Raw genomic sequence first — 23,617 nt, forward strand, 5'->3', positions numbered from 1 at the left:
ATATAAACAGACAAGTCATGAATGAACAGCTCAGTGGATTTCCATTAACTGAACTCACCCATGATACCATAACTCACATCAAGAGCTAGAATGTTACCAGCAATCCAGAAGTATCCCTGGTGTCCCTTCTCTGTCTCTACTACCTTTCCCAAGGTAGCTACTGTCCCAACTTCTAGCACTACAGGTTACTCTTGTCTTTAAAAACAAAACAAAAAAGAACCTTTTATTTAAATGGACTTCTATACTATATCTTCTTTGGTGACTGGCTGCTTTCATTGACTGTGTTGCATGTAGCAGTAGATGGTTCCTTCTCATTGCTGTACACTAGTCTACTGCAGTAACATACCACAATTTAGTTTTGCTATTGATAAACATCACAGTTACTTTCAATTTGGGACTATAATCAACAAAACTGCCATAGACATTTCTGCATACTTCTTCAATGGATGTATTTGTTATTCTTGGGCATATGCCTAGTAGAAGGATAATGTAAAATTTATCCATACATAAAGTTATCCAAACCTTCCATAAAAGTTTAAACAATTCTATTAAAATGCTGCTTTCATCACGTTATTTTACCTGTTAAAATCTTTTAAGAACTACTCAGTGTCCTCTGAATAGAATAAGAACATTTTTAAATGAATTTTAAGGTCCACTATGAATTTACAACTGATTGTCTTTCACCCTTTCCCTTGCTCTCATCCTCAATGGCATCTTCCTTCATTTTGACCCCAGCACTCCAATCTCCAGCCATACTTAGTTGTTTGCCATTTTGTTTGGAGGAAAAATCTTAGTATTAACCATGAAAGACTTAAACAAAACTATGGAGGAAAAAAAGGAGAAAGGTGCTGTTTCTCTAAGACTGTTCTCGTGAGGATCTTCCGTTTTCTTTCTTTTTTTTAAATTTATTGTTTTACTTTAAGTTCCGAGTACATGTACAGAACATGTAGGTTTGTTACATAGGTATGCATCTGCCATGGTGGGTTGCTGCACCCATCAACCCATCACCTAGGTTTTAAGTCCCGCATGCGTTAGGTATTTGTCCTAATGCTGTCCCTCCCCTTGCCCCCTACCCGCCAACAGGCCCCGGTGTGTGATGTTCCCCTTTCTGTGTCCATGTGTCCTCACTGTTCAACTTCCATTTATGAGTGAGAACATGTGGTGTTTGGTTTTCTGTTCCTGTGTTAGTTTGCTGAGAATGATGGTTTCCAGCTTCATCCATGTCCCTGCAAAGGACATAAACTCATTCTTTCTTTTACGGCTGACTAGTATTCCATGGTTTATATGTGCCACATTTTCTTTATCCAGTCTATCATTGATGGACATTTGGGTTGTTTGCAAGTCTTTGCTATTGTGAACAGTGACACAATAAACACACGTGTGCATATGTCTTTATAATAGAATGAGTTATAATCCTTTGAGTGTATACCCAGTAATGGGATTGCTGGGTGAAATGGTATTTCTTGTTCTAGATCCTTGAAGAATTGCCACACTGTCTTCCACAATGGTTGAACTAATTTATACTCCCACCAACAGCGTAAAAGTGTTCCTATTTCTCCACATCCTCTCCAGCATCTGTTGTTTCCTGATGATAATTTATTTTGCTGTGCAGAAGCTCTTCAGTTTAATTAGATCAATTTGTCAATTTTGTCTTTTGTTACAATTGCTTTTGGTGTTTTAGTCATTAAATATTTTCCCATGCCTATGTCCTGAATGGTATCAATATCATGAAAATGGCCATACTTTCCAAAGTAATTTACAAATTCAGTGTTATTCCCATGAAGCTACTATTGACTTTCTTCACAGAACTAGAAAAAGCTACTTTAAATTTCATATGGAATAAAAAAAAGAGCCCGTATAGCCAAGACAATCCTAAACAAAAAGAACAAAGCTGGAGGCATCACACTACCTGACTTCAAACTATGCTACAAGGCTAAAGTAACCAAAACAGCATGGTACTGGTACCAAAACAAATATATAGACCAATGGAAATGAACAAAGGCATCAGAAATAATACCATACATCTACAACTATCTGATCTTCCACAAACCTGACAAAAACAAGCAATGGGGAAAGGATTCCCTATTTAATAAATGGTGCTGGGAAAACTGGCTAGCCATATGCAGAAAACTGAAACTGGACCCCTTCCTTACACCTTAACAAAAATTAACTCAAGATAGATTAAAGACTTAAATGTAAAACCTAAAACCATAAAAACCCTAGAAGGATCTTCCATTTTCACAAATACTGTCTGGAGCTAGCATCCCTTCAAATGTCTTTCCTGCATTATTGACTGCAGTAGAAGTGGAGTATAAAGCAACTGGGCCTCCCCAATTGCTTCAGATCCCATGTCAATCTCATTAACCTGAATATAGTTTACTGTGAGGAAGAAAACTTTAACCTTAGGTTGAAATTTATGTATTTTTTCCCTAGCTGTTCCTTGATGTTATTTCATTACGAACATTAACTTACGTAAATGTTTCTTCAGGGAACTGAAACTTCAGTAACTATATTCTGCTCTTCAGATTATCAGTCATAAAATGTCTGCTGTCAAATTGACATCTAATCAAAGAAGAATGTTCATTTTCTTGCAGACTTCTCACTGCAGAGTCACTCATTCTTTATTTACAACTTATCTAAAGGAATAAGTTTATATTCTAAAAATTGCATTCTTTTAAATAAAGTAGAAAAATTTCTCTCTCATTTAGTCTAACTGACTTAACATCCAAATTACTCTTTTTCCACACATTGCTTCTACATTGATCAAATGACAATTAATCAATATTTTTTGGCCATAAAAATGTTAAGTTCTAATTTACATAACTTTAGAGTTGAACTAGATTATTCATGACAGTCAATATAATTAAAACATCAAAGGTGATAATAACTACGAAGTTTTACAATCCAAGTCCAGCTATACTGAGCAGTTCATATTACTCCATTTCTTTTTCATGATTATCTTATGAAGAAGGTGTGCATTTTACAAAGCTCAAAGAGTTTAAGAAATGTATCCATTTTACATGGTTTATAAGTAGTAGGGTTGGGATTTGAACCCCTGTTTGAGAGATTGCTGAGCCCAGGAGATTTCACTGTAGTATTAATATTTTGCCAATTATTTCATTTCTCTGTTATTTGGGATTTCTTTACAACAGAGGCTCAACCATCCAGTTGACTAAGAATCAGTTCAATTGACTGTTTAACTATCAATTGCTAGGAATCAATGATGGTGAGTTATTTGGACTTCACCTTCAGTAGAAGTCTCAGAAAATCTGTATCTAATTGATTCCCTTTCCCAATTGCTCTCAGTAAATTTAAAGATATTCAACAATTCTTGCAGGACCATAATTCATGTTAGCCTAATAAAATTCCAATAATTTCATAATAATGGATATATATTAATAATAATAGTAATAAAAACGACTACCCACTTTGAGTGGTTACTGTGTTCTAGGCACTGTGCTAAATGCTTTATGCACATTTTTATTATTCAGTCCTCATATCTACTCAATGAGGTACATAGTTGGAACACTAAAACTTAATTCTAAATGAAGCAAATAAAAGGAGGACCATCTATTGACATGCAGAAACAAAAATTACAGAGGTAGAGCTGTCAGCATTGGATCTAGTGCTCAAAGGTGTCACAAGGGCTGGGTTCATCTATACCGCCTCTCTGCACTGGTCTCCATGTCAGCTCAATCTCGACTCACACAGGATCTCTCCAAAGGTGAGCTCACATTTTAAAGTTCAACAGAAATAAAGCTGCTTTTTACCCAATGTTTCCACACAGCCCAGGTCCAGTCTGACTTAACCAGCTTGGATGACAAGCCTATCCTTAAACCATTCACTGTGGCTGGGAAAAGACTACGCTGTTTGGCCAGGTCACAATCCCACTCCTGGAGCTGTTGTTCATTTGCACTGCATCGACTGAAAATGGGGTAGGGGTGGTCACTCTACAAAGGAAACCAGGTGTGCTGTTACCAAAAGAGGGAATGAGACATAGGCAAGCAGGAACAGTGGATTTCATCTACATATAGTAATAGTCATCATTATTCACATTTTACAGATAAGTAAATTAAGGTTCAAGAAGTTTCATTTGTTGAGATTCACCAGTTATAAAATACAATGACAGTATTCCAGCCAATGACACTCAGAGTAATTACAAAACTATAGTGCATTCCTAGCAACTAAGTCTATACATACAATGAAGATTCTCAAGAGAGCTTTATTGCTTATGCTGCTTATTCCAGCCCTGATAAGGAACCATCAGCATTTGAACCCCAGTAATCCTCCCAACTATAAGGAGAACAGAGTCATATTCAGGCTGAGTGAAGTAGAAACTGCTAAATTCTATTCCTCTCTAAACAATCAGATTCTTTAAGAGACAAATCTGTTTTTATATTTGTATAAATCTTATATATACTGTTGATTCATAGAAGATGTTATTGGTAATGACTCAACTATCAAACTTAGTGGACATTTATACATGGAAATTACCTAATTAATTCCTAACTACACACTTGAGGGGAAAATACACTAGGTGGAAACAAGAAAACAGACAAGAGAAGTAGTGACTATGTCGGGAATGTGCAATCTTCCTAGATGGCCTCAGCGGACTTTCATTTTTATACCATTGACGAGAACTGTGTCAGGTGTTCATCCACAGCTGTGAATAGGACAGAAAAATATTTTTGAATGTGTGGGCAAATTACTGTTCTAGCCATATAGAAAAAGGAGAGAATGAATATTGTGTTGGCAACAGCAATTTCCACAGCCAGGCGTTGTGCTGGACACTTGGGATAAGCCGATCAGTGAAAGCAGGCGTGACCACCAACTCGTGGAGTTTTCACTTCTTGGTAGAGGCAGACAATGTATTTCACAAACACATATAAAATTGCAGTTGTGAATGTGCTGAAGTGGAGGAAGTCATGAGTCCAGGATGATAAAGGGGGAAGTGTCACAGACCCAATCAGGAGGTTAAGGAGGGCTTCCTTGAGGAGGTGACACTGGAGCTAGGGTGGTGTCTCAGTCAACTTTAGCATTTACAGAGTTCTTCTTGTAACAAATCCAGAAGTAAAGAGATAACTAAAGAGAATTTTCCTGATACTTTGAATACACTTGTACCTCATGGCTCTTTGTATTGTGAATCGCAGAAAATCTCATTCAAACTCAATCAAGAGAAAAACGCATTGACTGGCTAAAGTTCAGCGCCCTGCTTCAGGCACAGTGGCATCAAATAATACTAACATAGTGTCAGGAGGTGCTCCACCTCTCTACTCAGTGTCCCTCTGGGTTGACTCCATTCTCCTACAGGCTTTTCCATCATGGTGTTTAGATAGTGGCAATCTCCAGACTTGCGTCTTTTCGTCAGTAACACTTAGAGGAAAACAATCTACTACTTCCCCAAGAATAAATGTTCTGCATTTGGATCTCTTTGTGTGTAGCTTGGACCAGGTACCAGCCCTTGTTAACAACCACTTGGTCACTAGAGATGTCATTATCTTCATTACCAGTCTTCAGTCTTGTGCCCTCTCTTGGAGCAGGGGGTGAAATCAGCACCTCCCAAACTCCATGAACTGAAAATGGGGAAGAGAGGCCACTGGCTTCCCTAGAAGAAAGAAAACGCAGTCTTCAGTAAAAGTAGGACTGTTTGCTGGGCAGGCAGAAAGAACAGGTGTCTGCTACAGAGTAGAAATAACTAATAACATTAATAACTGCTACAGCTAGCAATAGCAATAATACTAAGAACAAACACTTATTTTAAAAGTGTTTCTTATTATAATTTCCCCATAAAAACTCATTCTACATTCTTGGCATGTCAAGAATTTAGCCAGCCTGCTTTGCCATAGCTACATAACCCAGAAGACAAAACTAGCTCTGCAGTTTGAAATTAGTGAGCATGAGATTTCCAGAGAGGAGGATTTCCGGTATAACTAATTCCCTTCCCTCCACCCCGAAGCTCACCTTGAATGCACCGGTGCTCATTGATTCATGCAAACTTGTCTCTGTTATTGCTGACATGCCTGGAGAGGGTCTGTTAAGGGAAGCTCATTTCAAGCACAGATGGTCCCAGGTAGCTTAGCCTCTGCCTGGTGGCCAGACTAAGTTAATTCGGACGGCCTTAGACTTCTGATCACATCCGTGCAGCCAGAGAGGAAAAGAAAAACTTATTTATCATCTTGATAAACAGTCTCTTTCAATGTCTGTGGATGCTGTATGTAACTCGGTAGAGTCAAATACTATTAAATTGTCATCACTGTCAAAAGGGGGAGTAATAAATTTTTCTACCTGAGTCATAGTTAATGACATCTACAATGTGCAACACAAATCAGAATTACTGTTTGCCTTCTTTTCTCCTAAATGTGTGTTTTCTGATCTCTCTGGCTGTAGATGTGAGGCACAGCCCTCAAAATATAAATAAATATATACTTTTGTTATTACCTCTCAGCTAAACCAATAAAATATCCAGCTGACAAGGGCCAGACTCTTGGCTTGGATGAGGTATGCATGCACAGGCAAAAGCTAAGCAGAAGTACCTCGTTCTAGTTCTGCACGGAAGACATGGATTTGAAAGACTGTATTTCACTGAGTGAAGGCCTTGGAAATGGCTCCACCCAATAGTTATTTGTAAACATATTTGCAGAAGCTGCTTAAATACTGTTAAGGGTGGGAGGCATCTCTTTTGCTGTCATCATCTTAAAGAATAATACAGTCATCTGTCCCATAACAATGTTTCAGTTAACGACAGACCTATAAGATAACATGGTATAATACCATATTTTTACTGTACCTTTTCTATGTCTAGATAGATTTAGATACACAAGTACTTATTATGTTATAGCTGCCTACAGTATGCAGTACAATAGCATGCTGTACTGGTTTGTAGCCTAGAAGTAATAGGCTATACTATCTAGCCTAGGTGTGTAGTAGGCTATACCATCTAGGTTTGTGTAAGTGTCCTCTATGAATTAGCACAATGATGAAATCACTTAATGACATATTCATTAGAAGTTACCTTGTCATTAAGTGAGGCATGACTGTGTAGTAGACTGTATAGTACGCTTTGTTAAGCTTCAGCAACAACCTCCAAATCTCATGGGCTTCAAACAGCAAAAGTTTATTGCTTGATCATACAACAAGCCCCTTGTGATTTATCAGTGTGGCTGTGTTTGCAGGAGTTACTCAGGGACTAGATCTTCTGGAGCAGGCACCGTCTAAAACGGGTTGGCAAACTGGCCTGTAGGCCAAATCTGGTGCACTGTCCGATTTTTATGATCCACAAGCTAAAAATGATCTTCACCTTTGAAATGGCTGGAAATTGTGACACATAAAAATCACACAAATTCAAGTTTCAATTTCCATAAATATTATTGACATACAGCTACACTAACTTGTTTATGTATCATTTGAGGTTGCATTTGTGATATAACAGCGAAGTTTGGTAGTTGCTCCAGAGACCACATGGCCCACAAAGCTGAAAATGTTTATTATCTGGATGTTTATGGAAAAAGTTTGTTGATCCTTGATCTGAAATACCACTGGCTGCCACACCAGCAGGAAGAGAGCCCTGGAAGGTCTTGCACAGGCAATTAAAAGCTTGGCTTGGTAGTGATATGTCAAGTCTGTTAATACCCAGTTGACTAAAAACAGTCAATGCCTCCTCCTCCCACAAGGGGATCAGTAACTACCATAAGCCCAGGAAGAGAAGACAGTCATTGGCATCCCTAATGGCTGCTCCAGCTAATACTAATAATAGCAACAGCATCAGAGCAAACACATTGCTCCTGTACTCCCACACTCTTCCAAGTGCTTTCCCTGTGTTTACTCATTCATCCTCACAACAACCTCATGATGAAAGTATTATAGTACTATTTTCCCCATTTTACAGATGAGGAGACTAAGAAAAGAAAGCTTGTATGATTTTCCTGAGATAAATCCAGCTAATAAAGGGTGGAAGCAGTTGAAACCCAGTCAATGACCCCAAAATTCAATCTCAAACACTGTGCTCTCAACCATCCTACCAATCACAGACCTGCTGAGATTTAAAAGAATGCCATTCATTGATGCTGTAGAGACAACTTCTTCACAAAATCCTCAATTATGGAATATGCTAGACATAAGCAAAACACTAATTTAGTGTCTGTATAACAGATTTCTAAAACATTTAACAGTTTATTTAGGAGGTGGTTAGTAAGTGGTCCATAGATGAAAGTAAAATCTAACATCTATGGAGTTGTGGGCAGTTCTCCTATAGGACCAAAAAAAAGAGAAAGGGCTGGGTGTGGTGGCTCACGCCTATAATCTCAGCACTTTGGGAGGCCGAAGTGGGCAGATCATGAGGTCAGGAGTTCAAGACAGCCTGGCCAACATAGTGAAATCCCGTCTCTACTAAAAACAGAAAAATTAGCCAGGCGTGGTGGCAGGTGCCTGTAATCCCAGCTACTTGGGAGGCTGAGGAAGGAGGGTCGCTTGAACCCAGGAGGCAGAGTTTGCAGTGAGCTGAGATTGTGCCACTGCACTCCAGCCCAGGTGACAATGCGAGACTCTGCTTCAAAAAGAAAAAAAAAAAAAAAGGATGGCTGGATTTGCAGTTTGAGATCAGTTTATGGCTCAGCAAGAGGACCAACTGACGGGCATCTGGCCCTAAAGTGGACAGTATTTTACAGCCACTTCTTCCTTGAGTATCTCAGATTTTGTTTTGATCTTTTCATCTTCACTTCTAAGCCAACTCAAAAATGTTGTTCCATTTTTTCCATTGGAAAAAAATTCCAATGGCATTTTCTTCATTTAGCTGGAGAAAAGAAATATCATAAAATAGTTATGGTTTAGAAGTGATGGATTCAGAGTCATCATATTGCAGTGTCTGCTTTTTTGTTGTTGACTGTACCTTTATATCTTCATAAAGGAGTTTGTTTGTAATCACCACCCATGTTCGTTTTAACATCCATTACACTTATCTGTGAACAATAATGGAAGAATCTCATTTTAAGAGAATAAAAAGAAGTTAATGATTATTGTTGGGCTTCTTTCTCAGTATGTATTCCTGCTTGTATATCATTAAATAAATGTTATAAAGAAACATAGAACAAAAATGAATAAAGAGGTAGGAGTAGACAAGTCAGGCCAGGCACAGTGGCTCAAAGCTGTAATTCCAGCACTTTGGGAGGCTGAGGTGGGAGGATCACATGAGAATGGGAGGATTGCTTGAACCTAGGAGATCGAGACCAGCGTGGTTTGTAACCTAGGAGTAATAAATAGGGAGTACAAAGGGAGACGCCCATCTCTACAAAAATACAAATCAAAACATTAGCCAAGCATAGTGGCATGTTCTTGCAGTTCCAGCTACATGGGAGGCTGAGGTGGGAGGATCAGTTGAGCCTGGGAGGCCAAGGCTGTAGTGAGCTGTGATCATGCTACTGCACTCCAACCTAGGCAATGGAGTGAGACTCTATCTCAAAAAAAAAAAAAAAAAAAAAAAAAAAAAAAAAAAAAAAAAGACTAGACAAAGTGAGTATGCAATGGAAAGAACACGTTAGGCCCCCCACCACTGCAGGAAGAGCTCAGAAATTTGGGGTCTTTGCAACCTGGAACCTAAAAGGCAAATGACTCCATTTTCCAGCATTTCAGAATTCTACCCTTTCATCCTCCTCCAGTGTTGCCTTTGAAATTGGGTTTCAATTTTTATATTAATAACAAGGAGAATGGCAGCCCTTATTTATAGTATACCTACTATGTGCTGCTCGATTTATTAATTACTTTTCATATACAATCTCTAATGCTTACAGTATCCGTTAAATTTAGGCATTTTGCTTACAGGGACGAGGGCTTAGAGGTTACAACTTGCTCCAAATTCATCCAGCTAGTAACCAAAGTGATGTTAATTATTCAAAATTATATTAGATATTAGTATATTCAATCTTTTATGTCAGTGTTTTATATAATTTTAGAAAAATTAGTATAGCCAGAGGAGTTATTCATATAAAATAGCATGGCCTATGTCTGTTCTGGAAATTGTTTCCATGTCATTCTCAGCCCTAAAGGATAGCACTGGTGAAGGAAAGCCTAATCAACTATTGCCTAGCTGGTTCAATGGTCTTGGTTTAAGAATAGGGTCAAGGGAGATCCAAAGGGGATTTAAGTCAAGAATATTGCACCCTAGAATGAACGTAAACATAGCTATTTTTCTAAGCCTTATTTCATTTCAATTCTTGTCCTAATCACAGTAGAATACAACTTATTCATTTTAGATGTTGGCTCAGGGAAGCTGTGATTCAGTTTCCAGAGACTAATATTGACATCCAGGGTGAATGCCCCACTTTGAGGAAGAAACTTCCCCTTCAGTTGTTTCATTTCTGAGATTGCATTAATTTGGAATGTATTGAAGGAAAGTCTACATCAAGCAAGCAAATTTGAGGACAGAGAATAGAAAAGTGGAGATATATCCTCAGCCTTATTTTAACAAAAATTTGAAGGCAGATCTAAGAGTAGCCCAAAGGCAGTCTGATGTCCAATCCATTACATGAGTTCCCTTTCCTCATGCTCTCTGATGCATCCTTGTTGGGAGAGAGTAAACGTTCCACAATATGTAAAGAGCAGTAAGGAATCAAGTGTGTTCTTGTAACCTCATTGGTGCACCTTTGGGTGAAATGTATTTCCGTGGGGGTAGACCAGTTGCTAAAAGTTATTTCTGCAGTAGAGTTTCAACATATCCAACGTATAAGCCATTTTCTTCTTTTAAAAATTGAAGAAATCTAGTGGGTGGGTGTTGAGTTGATTATGGTATTACCTTACTTTTAGCAATTTTATTTCAGGGAGATAATGATGCCTAAATGCAGTTTCTCCGTGATTAGCCTGGAATGAGAGTAGAAAGGTAAGAGTGAGGAGTAGTCCATACTGGTGAAAAAAGGGAAAAAAATAAGAGTTATATTTTTCCCACCAATAATTCTGACCTGGTCAAAGATGATAATTTCAATAGTATTAGGAATATCAGAGTAAATTTTCATGCCTACTCTGAACCAGGTATTATTATAATCACTTTGCCTGTATTTATTTAATTCTTATACCTGATAAGTATAAGAATTATTGCAATCCAGGGCATTCACCCTGGATGTCAGTGTTAGTCTCTGGAAACTGAATCACAGCATGAATGCCCTTCAGCTTCCCTGAGCTAACAACTAAAATAAATACGTTGTATTCTACTGTGATTAGGACAAGAATTGAAATGAAATAAGGCTTAGAAAAATAGCTATAATATGTCTACTGTTCACTATAGGATGCAATATTCTTGACCTAAATCCCCTTTGGATATCCCTCAACCTTACTCTTAAACCAAGACCGTTGACCCAGCTAGGCAATAATGTAGTTCTTAAAACAACCCTGTAAAGTTGATGCTGTCATCCACATTCTACAGATGAGAATCTTGAAATATAGAATGGAAAATAATAGGAAGCAGCAGACCCAGGACTTGAGTCTTGGCAGCCTGGCTCTGGAATCTGTGATCCTATCCATTATGTTACCCTGCCTCAAACATGGTTGTCCTGCCCAGAATTTCTTCCTTTTTCCTACTTTTTTCCTTTACATACCCGAGGACGCTGGGAGAGAAAGGATGGGAATTTGTTTAATCTCAAGCATAAACAAATCAAGCAGCTATTTTGCCCTCCTCAACCAAAACATGCTTAAAGATCCATTAGTGTCTCTCTTGTCAATGATTTACAGACAAAGACACTCAGAGCTTCTTTCCAGTCCATTGGGTCAATAAAGCATTTTTAACACAGTATTAAATATGCATTTCTGACATCCACTATGATGAATTCCAAAAAAGCTACTTATACAACCCTGATCAAAAAGTCCTGTAAAAGTGACTCTGAAAAAAATTTGCGATTTTTCTTACATATTACAGCTTTTAAAGAAAGGAACCGTTTGTAATAAAGTGGAAATGCAAGGATTCTAATAATCATGTCCATCTTAACTTTCTTTAAATATGGTTTATTCATTTTCTCCAAAAGTTGTCTTTGGCTATAAGCATATATCCTGGCCTATTAATGAGAACTGGGGTTTACTCATAGTTACTTTTAATTGCTATTTCATTTTAAAGCTATTTCACTTAGAGTAAAAAGCTTTACCTTTGTAAGTTATGACTCGATCCCCAACCAAAATCCCAAGTTGATTTCTCTAGAAGGTATATTGGAAGTTCTCATCTTTGCAAAAGCTACACTTATCATTCAAATTCATCTTTGTGAACATATCCACATAATGGATATTCAGAAAAGGTTCCCGAAAAAGGATTAATTTATACATTCTGTCTTTCTTCTTCTACCGTTTCCTTCCTATTTTCCTTTTCTTTCCCTTTACATTCCACATATTCTTCCCTCCCTCTCTTTCTTTCCTTCCTTCCTTCCTTTCATTATTCAGTCATTTAATCATTTAGTAAATGTGTGACTGCCCACTATTATTCCAGGCACAAGAGATAAAGAATTAAACAAGATGTGGTCCCCCTGCCAGCGTGGAGTGCCCAGCCAAACAGGCTAGACAACAAGCCCATAATTCCAGTTGGGAGTCAGGCTGAAAAAGAAAAGTTCAGCTTGCTAAGAGAACATATAATGGGGGTCAAAAGTGAGTCTTTGAGGAAAAGTTTCATTCAACAACTATTTACATACCAAACAAGTGCCAGATTTCAAGCTTAGTACTGGAATAGTGGTAAAACAGAAAAAAATTGTTGTCCTTCCTCCTTATAGGAAAAGCAAGACATTATTTTTTAAAAATCAAAATCATGCACACTATAAATATTATTGTACAAGAATTATGTAGGAGATGTAGGCTCATACACAGTAGAATATAACTCACAGTATGGTTCAGGAAGGCCACCACAGCAATACCCACACACATGTACATGTACAGGGCTTAGGCTTATATTCCCTGTCTTTTTATTTTTGAAGCAATTCTCTCTATTCCAATTTACACTCCCCCCTTAGCATATTTTCTTCTTTCCCGGAAAGTCTGCTGTTGTGATAATTTAAAGTTGTTTGGCTATGCTTGTTCTTGGACACGAAACCACTGATAGATATGGTTTGGCACTATGTCCCCACCCAAATCACATCTCGAATTGTAATCCCCACATGTCAAGAGAGGGACCTAGTTGGAGGTGATTGGATCATGAGGGTGGTTTCCCCCATGCTGTTCTCATGATGGTGGGGGAGTTCTTATAAAATCTGATGATTTTAAAAGTGGTCATTTCCCCTGCACTCTCTCTCCTGCCACATTTTTAAGAAGGTACTTGCTTTCTCTTCACACTCTACTATGATTGTAAGTTTCCTGAGGCCTCCCAAGTCATGCAGAACTGTGAGTCAGTTAAACCTCTTTTATTTATAAATTACGCAGTCTCTGGTAGTATCTTTATAGCAGTGTGAAAACAGACTAATACAATCACCAACAGCAAAAGATACTACTGAATGTCCAATTCCCTGGCAGATGAAAAGGACCGGACATTAGCAAGTTCCCATAGGTGTCCATTCAAAAAATTTGACCCAGTTTGTAGCCCAGAGTGATCCAGTTGGTTGGTATGAGCTATTTCTATTAAATATCAGATCTGGGGGCAAACCCTGACTTACAATGCCAGTTGTCAAGCTTTTAGTCATCTGCCTGCCAGTCATTCCTAACCTCTTCTTCCCTTTCCATCATGACACATAATTGTCACCAGTGGGGACCCTTTTAAAAGAAACATTATCCTTCGCAATTTATCTTCCTTATTTCCTCACTTGTACAGCTCAAGACAGTGATGCATTGAGCTGGGAAGGAGGCATCCATTGCTAGGAGCATATTGGACTTGGCATTTTTTTAACTTCTCCAGCTCAGAGTTGCTGCTGCCGGAAATAATCTTGAAATGCTATCTTTTTCTCTTTTTTGGATATTAGAAACTTTCTTTTCCTGTTAAAAATAGGTTTGATAATGTATTCAGGGCTCTAACAAACCCAAGAGAAAAGAGCAGTTGGGAAACTAGAGAGATGCCCCATGGAGTTTTTTTTTGCAGGGGCCCTTCCCCTTAACACCAGGGTCAACATGGGCAAAAGGAATGAGAAGAAAGTCCACTGTTTTGAAGATTTGTGGCAGAAAGAGAACTGGGAAGCAGAGTACATTTAACACATCTAACTTTTCCAGATCGGTGTGCATTAGCCAGATAATTACGGCATTTACTTCCTAGTTGGAAAGAACAATGGGATCCCTTATAATGCTAGATTTAGGGTTTTGGGCTAATTTTATAGATATTTTAGATGTATGTTTTCTGCAGATTAACTGATAACAGAAACAATAATCTGGAAAATCTGAGTAGTACAAACAACCTCCATACTAGCCTGTTCTTTATTCTATATCCTCTGCCATTAGATAATAGGTTACTTCATCTGTCTTGTTTTTTAGATCTACAGATCCTGGGTGAAATCCAAAAAAGAGACCATTTTCCATAAGCAAAAAAAAAAAAAAAAAAAAAAAAAAAAGGAAGCTGCATTTTCTAAGGAAGCACCTAAATGACTTAGCTTTGAGAAACCATAGATCATCTTGAAATCATTTTGACTTGGATTGAGATGAAATTTAGAAATGGATAGGCATTGACACCAAGGAAAAGTCCGAAAGATATTTGCATGACAAATATTATCATTCTGAAATAACATTGGCAGTTAAGTTTGAAAGGATAGTTCACAAGGTAAACCTTAAAATACAAATACATTGGATTAAAATACACATTTCCTAATTTCCAGAAAGGTTGTGACAAACTTAACTCTTCCCTTTCATTGGGAGAAACTCTGGGGGAACATTTTGGTTTCCTTTCTCTTTTTCCAAGAAGCCAGCTGATGGGGACAATAGATAAGTAAAACCTTTTTGTCTGAGGGAGTCTTGAAAAATTTTATCTCTGGGTTATAATAGGAATTGTATGTCATTTTATGTCCTTATAGAATTTGATCACCTTCTCACTGTATCATGGGTGGGCCCAAGTAAAGGTGGGCTCTTGATGTAGCCAAAAAGTAAAAAACACATAGGAATGTGGGACGGTGTGTATTTTACAAGCATACTATACTCTGTATATATACTCTGCTATACCAAAGGCATACACCCTTCTTGGTTAGGTTCCATATTATTTGATCATGCAAAAATCCATGGCAGATTTGTTATTCATTTTTCACTTTGTTCAATCATCTACCCATCTAAATGTAATGTGATATCTTTGATGGGACCCTGAAACAGGAAAGTATATTATGTAAAAGCTAAAAGAATCTGAATAAAGCCTAGCCTTTAGTTAATAATGTGTCAATCAAATATTTGTCATTTAATACTACCTTTAGATAGCTGATAATCACCTAAGTATGATTGATTTCACTTTTTCCTTAGCAGAAGAATCTCTGTGAAGAATAGATCATTATACCAAATTTTAAAAATAGAATATCTCCTTTCTTAGAGTAGAGGTAACTGAGCCCCCTTGGATAATCCATAAAGTCCCACAAAATGTGTCTTTAGAGCAAAGTTATGTAAGTGTGACTTTTCCTGCCAAAGATCTAAAAATTTTACTTTTTTAATACAAGCCCAGGCTTCCATGGGCAGGATAGACTGAAAGAGTAAATTGCTCCGTTTGACTGTCTGCTAGGTCTGTTACAATGTAAACTTTGGGAATGAGATTTGGGTATGATGGGACAATCAGAGCTTCCAACTGTTGGGGTCCTGTGGGGTTCCACTGTGTCCACCAAGACCTATTTCTGGGCTCTGCACCAGTGTACCTGAGCAGCATGTGTGATTGAGGCCATAGTTCAACTTGTCAAAATCAAAGAGCCTGTTATTTAGAGCAACACCTTCCTGGCCTCATGTGTGTAAATCCACCATCTGTGAGCCTAAGGAAGATATGGCCTGGGGTCATTGACTTTATATACAAGTCTTTGATGAAAATGGAGCATTTGTCATTTCTCAGTTACCATGCTCTTCCTTTTTCAAAGAAATGACAGCATGTACGTCAGGGTGGGACAGGGGAAAGAGCACTGTATATGGGGTGAGGGTCTGGGTTCTGGTCTCAATGCTGTTGGCTCCTTGCTAGGTAAAACATGGGCAAGTTTCTTTTTTTTTTCTTTTGCATTTTAAATTTGGATATATATTCTTTTATTATTATTATTATACTTTAAGTTCTAGGGTATATGTGCACAACGTGCAGGTTTGTTACATATGTATACATGTGCCATGTTGGTGTGCTGCACCTGTTAGCTCGTCATTTACATTAGGTATATTTCCTAAGGCTATCCCTCCCCTCAACCCCCACTCCACAACAGGCCCCAGTGTGTGATGTTCCCCACCCTGTGTCCAAGTGTTCTCATTGTTCAATTCTCACCTATGAGTGAGAACATGCTGTGTTTGGTTTTATGTCCTTGTGATAGTTTGCTCAGAATGATGGTTTCCAGCTTCATCCATGTCCCTACAAAGGACATGAATGCATCCTTTTTTATGGCTGCATAGTATTCCATGGTGTATATGTGCCACATTTTCTTAATCCAGTCTATCATTGGTGGACATTTGGCTTGGTTCCAAGTCTTTGTTATTGTGAATAGTGCCGCAATAAACATACGTGTGCATGTGTCTTTATAGCAGCATGATTTATAGTCCTTTGGGTATATACCCAGTAAGGGGATGGCTGGGTCAAATGGTATTTCTAGTTCTAGATCCCTGAGGAATTGCCACACTGACTTCCACAATGGTTGAACTAGTTTACAGTCCCACCAACAGTGTAAAAGTGTTCCTATTTCTCCACATCCTCTCCAGCACCTGTTGTTTCCTGACTTTTTAATGATCACCATTCTAACTGGTGTGAGATGGTATCTCATTGTGTTTTTGATTTGCATTTCTCTGATGGCCAGTGATGATGAGCATTTTTTCATGTGTCTGTTGGCTACATAATTGTCTTCTTTTGAGAAGTGTCTGTTCATATCCTTTGCCCACTTTTTGATGGGGTTGTTTGATTTTTTTCTTGTAAATTTGTTTGAGTTCATTGTAGATTCTGGATATTAGCTTTGTCAGATAGGTAGATTGTAAAATTTTTCTCCCATTCTGTAGGTTGAAACATGGGCAAGTTTCTAAGTCACTCTTGGTCTCATTTGCTTCTCCTGTAAAATAAAGATTTGTGATGTGTTTATTATGGTATTGGGCACATAGGAAAAACTCAATAAATGATTACTTTCTTTAATATTATTACTATTACCATTGGTTGCATGGCTATATTGCTTGCTGTAAGTCTGTATCATCTCTAGAAAATGGAAATAACAATAGTTCTATCTCCATCTTTCAACTACTTTGAAAATTAAATGAAATATGTGTTAAAAGCACATTTTAAACCTTGATAATAATATGTGAGACATTGTTGAATACATAAAACAATAAGAATCCATGTTCTGGAAGAGTTTGATTTCCAATGGGACACACAGACAATAATGTCATCAGAAAATTATATACTGTGTTTGAAAGTTACAGGTGTTGGGGGCAGGGGGGTGAGGGGACATAAAGCAAGGGAGCTCATGAGTGCTTGCTAAGGGGAGTATGATTTATTTTAAGTAGACAGGTCAAGTGTGCCTCTGATTAAGTGACATTTGAGCAATGATGGAGTGAGGAGTGGGTGAGCCAGAGATCTGTTGGGAGCATGTCTCAGGTGATACAGTGACCCTCATGGGGTACATGCCTGGGGTGCTCATGCAGTAACCGTCAAAGTGACCAGTGTCCATGGAGGAAAGTCAAGGAGAGAGAGAGTCATAACAAATCGGCTGGGCACGGTGGCTCACACCAGTAATCCCAGCACTCTGGGAGGCCGAGACGGGTGGATCACCTGAGGTCGGGAGTTCGAGACCATCCTGACCAACATGGAGAAACCCTGTCTCTACTAACAATACAAAAAAATTAGCTGGGCATGGTGGTGCATGCCTGTAATCCCAGCTACTTGGGAGGCTGAGGCAAGAGAATCACTTGAACCTGGGAAGCAGAGGTTGCAGTGAACTGAGATCGCGCCATTGCACTCCAGCCTAGGCAACAGGAGCGAAACGCCATATCAAAACAAACAAACAAACAAAACAAATAAGGTCAGAGTCACAACTAGGGGAGGAGGGGCGGCTCGGATATTTAACCTTGGTAACCTTTCTAAGCCAAGTGTCAAACATTTTCTTGGAAGTTTTTCAACCATAAGGCACAACCACTTGTGAAAAGATGCAAAAAGCCTGAGTTTTGGGATCTAGTGACTGGGGTCACACTTATGTGATTCTGGGCAAGTTATTTAACCCCTCTGAGCCTCAGCTTCTCATGTGTAAAGTGGGGACAATACCTTGTAAAGTTGCTGGAATGTGTATAATTAATACAGCATCCAGCACCCAAATCAGAGCTCCAGAAATGGCATTGAGCTCCAAGAGTAGCAGAGAACCATTCCTTTGGCTCTTTGACAACAGTGCCATGAGGGACAGGCTTTGGACCTTCAGTGCCCACCTTGTTGTCAGTATTATTTAACTCAGTGCAGTAACTCAGGCGATCTGGCTTGTCTGTCATTGTGTCCGTTGACTTGACTGTAAATCAAATGAGATTCAAAATACATCCTGAGAGCTTTCATGTGCCTTGTGCCATTTTCAATCATAAATATTGCTCCACTCTTGTATTAGAGCCAAGAGGTGACTTTAAAATTAGTGGCATTTTTGTGAAGTGTCGAACTAGCTGTTACTGACTTGACGGAGGGTATTTGTAGCTGACAATTATAAGCTAAAGTGACATGATTGCAGGTGTCTGAGTTAAAGAGTGTAATATATGATTAGCCCTATTCCATTAACTTGAATCCCAGTGTCGTGCATGGGGAGATAGTAAGGCACTCTTCCATGAACAAGTTGCAGCCTTCTTTCTTCTAGTCATTGTTTTGCACGAGCCATTTATTTCTTCTCCTTCGCTACCTTGTACTTCTCCAACTCCTCCTGCATATAGCTTACCAAGGTGGTTGCCCTAGAGAAATACCTGTACCACACCAGTCCTTTGTTCCAAAAATTCCCATTCATTGCTGTGAGGAAACAAGTGACAACCTTGACCCCAGTCAAGCTTACAGTTTGGCTGGGGCACAGACATGAACAACTAAACACAGGAAATGTGTAGGGTGCTAATAGAATGAACAAAGGTGGACGTGAGGAGCATTCTCTAAGGAACTGACCTTTGAGTTGAGCTCTAAGGAGAGTTAACTGGCAAAATCATTTGTGTTGGAGTGAGGAGGTTGGAGGGATGGGAGGTAGGAGTGAGTATTCCAGAAGAAACCATATTTTCAATCCCTCTAAGACAGAAAATATGTTATTTATATCTTTGTTGGCACCAAAGATATAAATTTATACCTTTGTTGGCACCTACAAAGATATAAATAATATCTAGTCACTCTGGTATTCTTATTATAGGAAGTATATACAGACTCTACCATATGTCAGGCTCGGCACTAACCCCTTTACATGTGTTCTCTCTGTTTATACTCACACAACCCTGTGATACAGGTGTTATTATTATTCCCATTTTACAGATGAGGAAACTAAGGCATTCAGTAAATGACAGAGCCGAGATTCAAACTAAAAGAGGCTGATATGAAAGCCTGAACTCTTCCCTCCTATGGAGAGAAACATAATTAGTCTACTCAAAATCAGAGACTCTTGCGTTTCTTTCATGTTAGGCCAGGGTTTCTCAACACCTTCACAATATCGATCTTTTGAGCCAGATCATTCTTTCTATGGGAGGCCATCCTGGGCATTGTGGGATGTTTAACATAGCCCTGCTTCCTACCTGAAAGATGCAAGTAGCTGTGTGCTCCAACCAGTGATGACAATCAGAAATATCTCCAAACTGGCCAGCTATTATTATGGGGGAGGGAGCAACATCACACCCCACCACCACTGCACTGAGGATCTCTGCATTACACAGTTCTCAGAGGACAGGATGAAAGGATGAAGCTGTGTCTTAAGTCTTCTCTCCTTCCTTTCTCCCTCCTTTTCTTTTTCACAATGTTTTCTAAGTGTCCATATGTATCCTCTATGTACAGGAGATGTATTCTCATCCATATAGTTTATCACACAGTAATTTGAATATAGAGGTTGCTTAACAAATGCTTGGTGAATTTTTGCCAACTGCATCCTAAATGCCAAGAATCCTAAATGGTCTGGGTCTATTCTGAACTCCAAATTTGATGTTGAGAAAGTTGATTCCTGGTTTCTGGTCACTTGATGTATCTTTTGCGTGTCTCTAGAGATCTGACTTAGCTGATTTAGCTGATTTCTGGGGAAAGACCCACTTGGATGCTTATCAGCCTTTATGCAGAGCCGGCAGTTCACCTGCTAAGATCGTAGTGGAGAGTGACATACATTAGTTTGCCAATAAATTCTGATGAATGCATGGATGAGCTGTTACAATTAAGTCAAGCTATATGACCAGGACTGCAATTTGAGACATTGTTTAAAGCACCTACCCATTTTCTCCAGCAATTCTTTCTTTCATTTGCGGATGAAGTCTAGATTTGGGAAATATGTCCCGAATAGATTTTCTATTTAGCCCCCCTTGAGAGTAGGCAGGCAATGGAAGGAAGAGCTGATTTCTGGGCAGTTTTTCTGGCACTGTAGCTTCTGTATCACTGGAGTGTCACTTGTCAATAGAACTCAGAGAATCTTAAATGTGATGATAACACAGAAGATGGCTCCCAAAATATGCATTTAAATCAGGCAGCATCTTTATTGGGTGTGTTAGTTGCAGGCATTCATTGCTTTATTGCCTGTCAATACCTACAGGCCAGAATTGCCACATCTTGAGGGCTATCCATTGGTATTCTTTGCTGGTTTGGAAGTACAGCACTGTCCTCTCTGTGATTACACGTAGTAGAAGAGAGTCCTGTTGTAATTGTATTTCATGGAAACTGTTTCTATAATTTCAATTACTTTCCTCAACCCCGCTACATGCACTCCCAGGGGCTCGAATAGTCACTGAGTTATTTCTAATCAGTGTCCCTGTTCTTTCTCTCTTGCCAGAAGGAGGGACGTGTGAAGTGATAGCAGCACACCGATGTTGTAACAAGAATCGCATTGAGGAGCGGTCACAAACAGTAAAGTGTTCCTGTCTACCTGGAAAAGTGGCTGGAACAACAAGAAACCGGCCTTCTTGCGTCGATGGTAGGTACCTGGTTTTACCTCTTGAAAAGCTCACATGGCATTCACTATACATAATATAATTTCTTGTTTTATCTAATATGGTTCCAGATAATGAACAAGGTGCATCCGAAGTGTTAGAAAGTTATACAATTGCCAGCCTCAGCAGAGTTTGAATTCTTTTTTCTCTGGTGCTATTATTTGAATGTTTTTTCCCCAAAAAATAGATGTTGAAATTTGCTTGCCATTGCAGCATTGAGAGGTGGGACCTTTGAGAGGTGACTGGGCTGTGAGCAACTGTATTAGTCCATTCTCACACTGCTATAAGGAAAAACCTGAGACTGGGTAATTTATAAAGAAAAGAGGCTTAATTGGCTCCTGGATGCACAGGCTGTACAGGAAGCATGGCTACGGAGGCCCCAGGAAACTTTCAATCACAGGAGAAAGTGAAGGAGAAGCAAGCAAGTCTTACATGGCCAGGAAAGGAGGAAGAGAGCCAAGGGGGAGGTACTACACAATTTTAAACAACCAGATCTTGTGAGAACTCTCTCACTATCATAAGAACAGCAAGGGGGAAGTCTGCCTCCATGAGCCAGTCACCTCTCACCAGGCCCCTGTTCCAACACTGGGGGTTACAATTTGACATTTTTTTCAGGTCAAGAAACATGAAGGTCCAGCTCATTTGGGAAATGATTTTGGACTGAGGCTCTAGAGAATGATGATGGTGATAATGATAATAAATATTTTCATGCGCATCCGTGTGAAGATACCACCAAACAGGCTTTGTGTGAGCAATAAAGCTTTTAATCACCTGGGTGCAGGTGGGCCGAGTCCCAAAAGATAGTCAGCAAAGGGAGATAAGGGTGGGGCCGTTTTATAGGATTTGGGTAGAAAAAGGAAAATTACAGTCAAAGGGGAGTTGTTCTCTGGTGGGCAGAGTGGGGGTCGCAAGGTGCTCAGTGGGGGAGCTTTTTGAGCCAGGATGAGCCAGGAAAAGGACTTTCACAAGGTAATGTCGTCACTTAAGGGAAGGACCGGCCATTTTCACTTCTTTTGTGGTGGAATATCATCAGTTAAGGCAAGGACCGGCCATTTACACTTCTTTTGTGGTGGAATGTCATCAGTTAAGGCGGAGCAGGGCATATTCACTTCTTTTGTGATTCTTCAGTTACTTCAGGCCATCTGGGTGTGTACGTGCAAGTCACAGGGGATGTGATGGCTTGGCTTGGGCTCGGGCTCAGAGGCCTGACAAATATAACAATACCTAACATTCATTCAACACATATTTAATGAGCACTTACTGTATTCCAGATACCACTCTGGGTGCTCCAGAAAAACTGATGAACAAACAGAATTGTCCTGAGTCCTCAGTATGGATCAAACCCTGTGCTAAACACTTCTCATGCATTATTTTATTTAATCCTCCCAACAATTCTACAAAGCAGTATATTTTTTCTCTATTGTGATATAACAAATCCCAAAACTTAGCAGCTTAAAACAGAAAACATTATGTCACAGTTTCTGTGTGTCACGAATTAAACTTACGAGGTTCTGGCTTAGAGTATCTCATGTGGTTGCAGTCAAGATCTGAAGGTTTGACTGATATGGCAGAATGGTTTTAAGATGGCTTGTTCACATGGCTGTTGGGAGGTGGTCTTGTTTCCTCGCCTCGTGAACCTCTCAAAAAAAACTTGATGTCCTCACAACGTGGTAGCTGGCTTCCCTCAAAGTGAGTAATCCAATAAAACAATACAGAAGCCTTTATATGTCACCTCAGAAAGTTACTCTTTTTTATTTCCACAATATCCTACAGGTTATACCCACTAGCCCCTATTCATTGTGGTGGTAGACCGCAAGGGCTGGAAGACCAGCAGTCAGGGATCATTGTGGGGCACCATGGAAGCTGGTTACCATAAGGAGATACATTTTTATCTACCATTTTCAACATGTAGAAACCGAGGCTTGGAAGGGTTGAATAGTGTTCCATTCATCCTATGGTTGATAAGCCCTGGCTTGAATGACTCTTCAGCCCAGCATAATGGACTCTAATACCAAATTTAGACCACCACCTTTAAGACAATTTTATATGTTACTGTCAAACAATGAGTCCAAGGCGCAAAGGGACTATAAATCTCTCCTCCCATCTTTATGTTTCATAATTTAGAGCTGGGTGTAAGTTGATTTTCAAATCCTTTATTTAAGAAATCAGGAGGAGGACTCAAAGAAATGAGTCACTTGCTTGGTTCACATAACAGGACACTGAACCTGAATCCCTTGGCTTGGTGTTCATTGTTCTTCCTCTAGATATAGATAAGGAAGGACAACCTCTAGATCGATTCATGTTATGTATTTTCATTGTGGGTCAGTAGGTGGTTAGAAAGAGAAACACACTCAAGCTAGGCTAAGTAAAGAGGAAGTATTTTAAGAAAATAAAGGAATCGCGGTGAACCAATTAAAGGAAATTCAGC

The 23,617-nt window shown here is 39.1% G+C and overlaps 1 protein-coding gene across 7 annotated transcripts in view, besides 1 other annotated feature; it reads left to right on the forward strand.

Annotated features, from left to right (window-relative positions):
- The window catches only part of TAFA1 (TAFA chemokine like family member 1), a 554,078-nt gene that overhangs the window by 404,704 nt on the left and 125,757 nt on the right, over positions 1-23,617 (forward strand). For 4 of the 7 annotated variants that reach the window (NM_001252216.2, NM_001438647.1, NM_213609.4 and 1 more), the window contains one exon: positions 21,033-21,173. In NM_001252216.2, coding sequence (NP_001239145.1) covers positions 21,033-21,173 — 141 coding nt within the window. The remainder of the gene's footprint in view (positions 1-21,032; positions 21,174-23,617) is intronic. The other 3 variants (NM_001438650.1, NM_001438648.1, NM_001438649.1) reach the window with 1 other exon arrangement.
- Positions 21,743-22,547: an enhancer, noted in NCBI's record as "OCT4-NANOG hESC enhancer chr3:68467140-68467944 (GRCh37/hg19 assembly coordinates)". NCBI's record gives its function as "activates a minimal SCP1, AML or CMV promoter by ChIP-STARR-seq in naive H9 embryonic stem cells {active_cell/tissue: H9 hESC(naive)}" and the evidence as "EXISTENCE:reporter gene assay evidence [ECO:0000049][PMID:30033119]".

This window comes from Homo sapiens, chromosome 3, assembly GCF_000001405.40.
Source record: "Homo sapiens chromosome 3, GRCh38.p14 Primary Assembly".
Taxonomy (NCBI): Eukaryota; Metazoa; Chordata; class Mammalia; order Primates; family Hominidae; genus Homo; species Homo sapiens.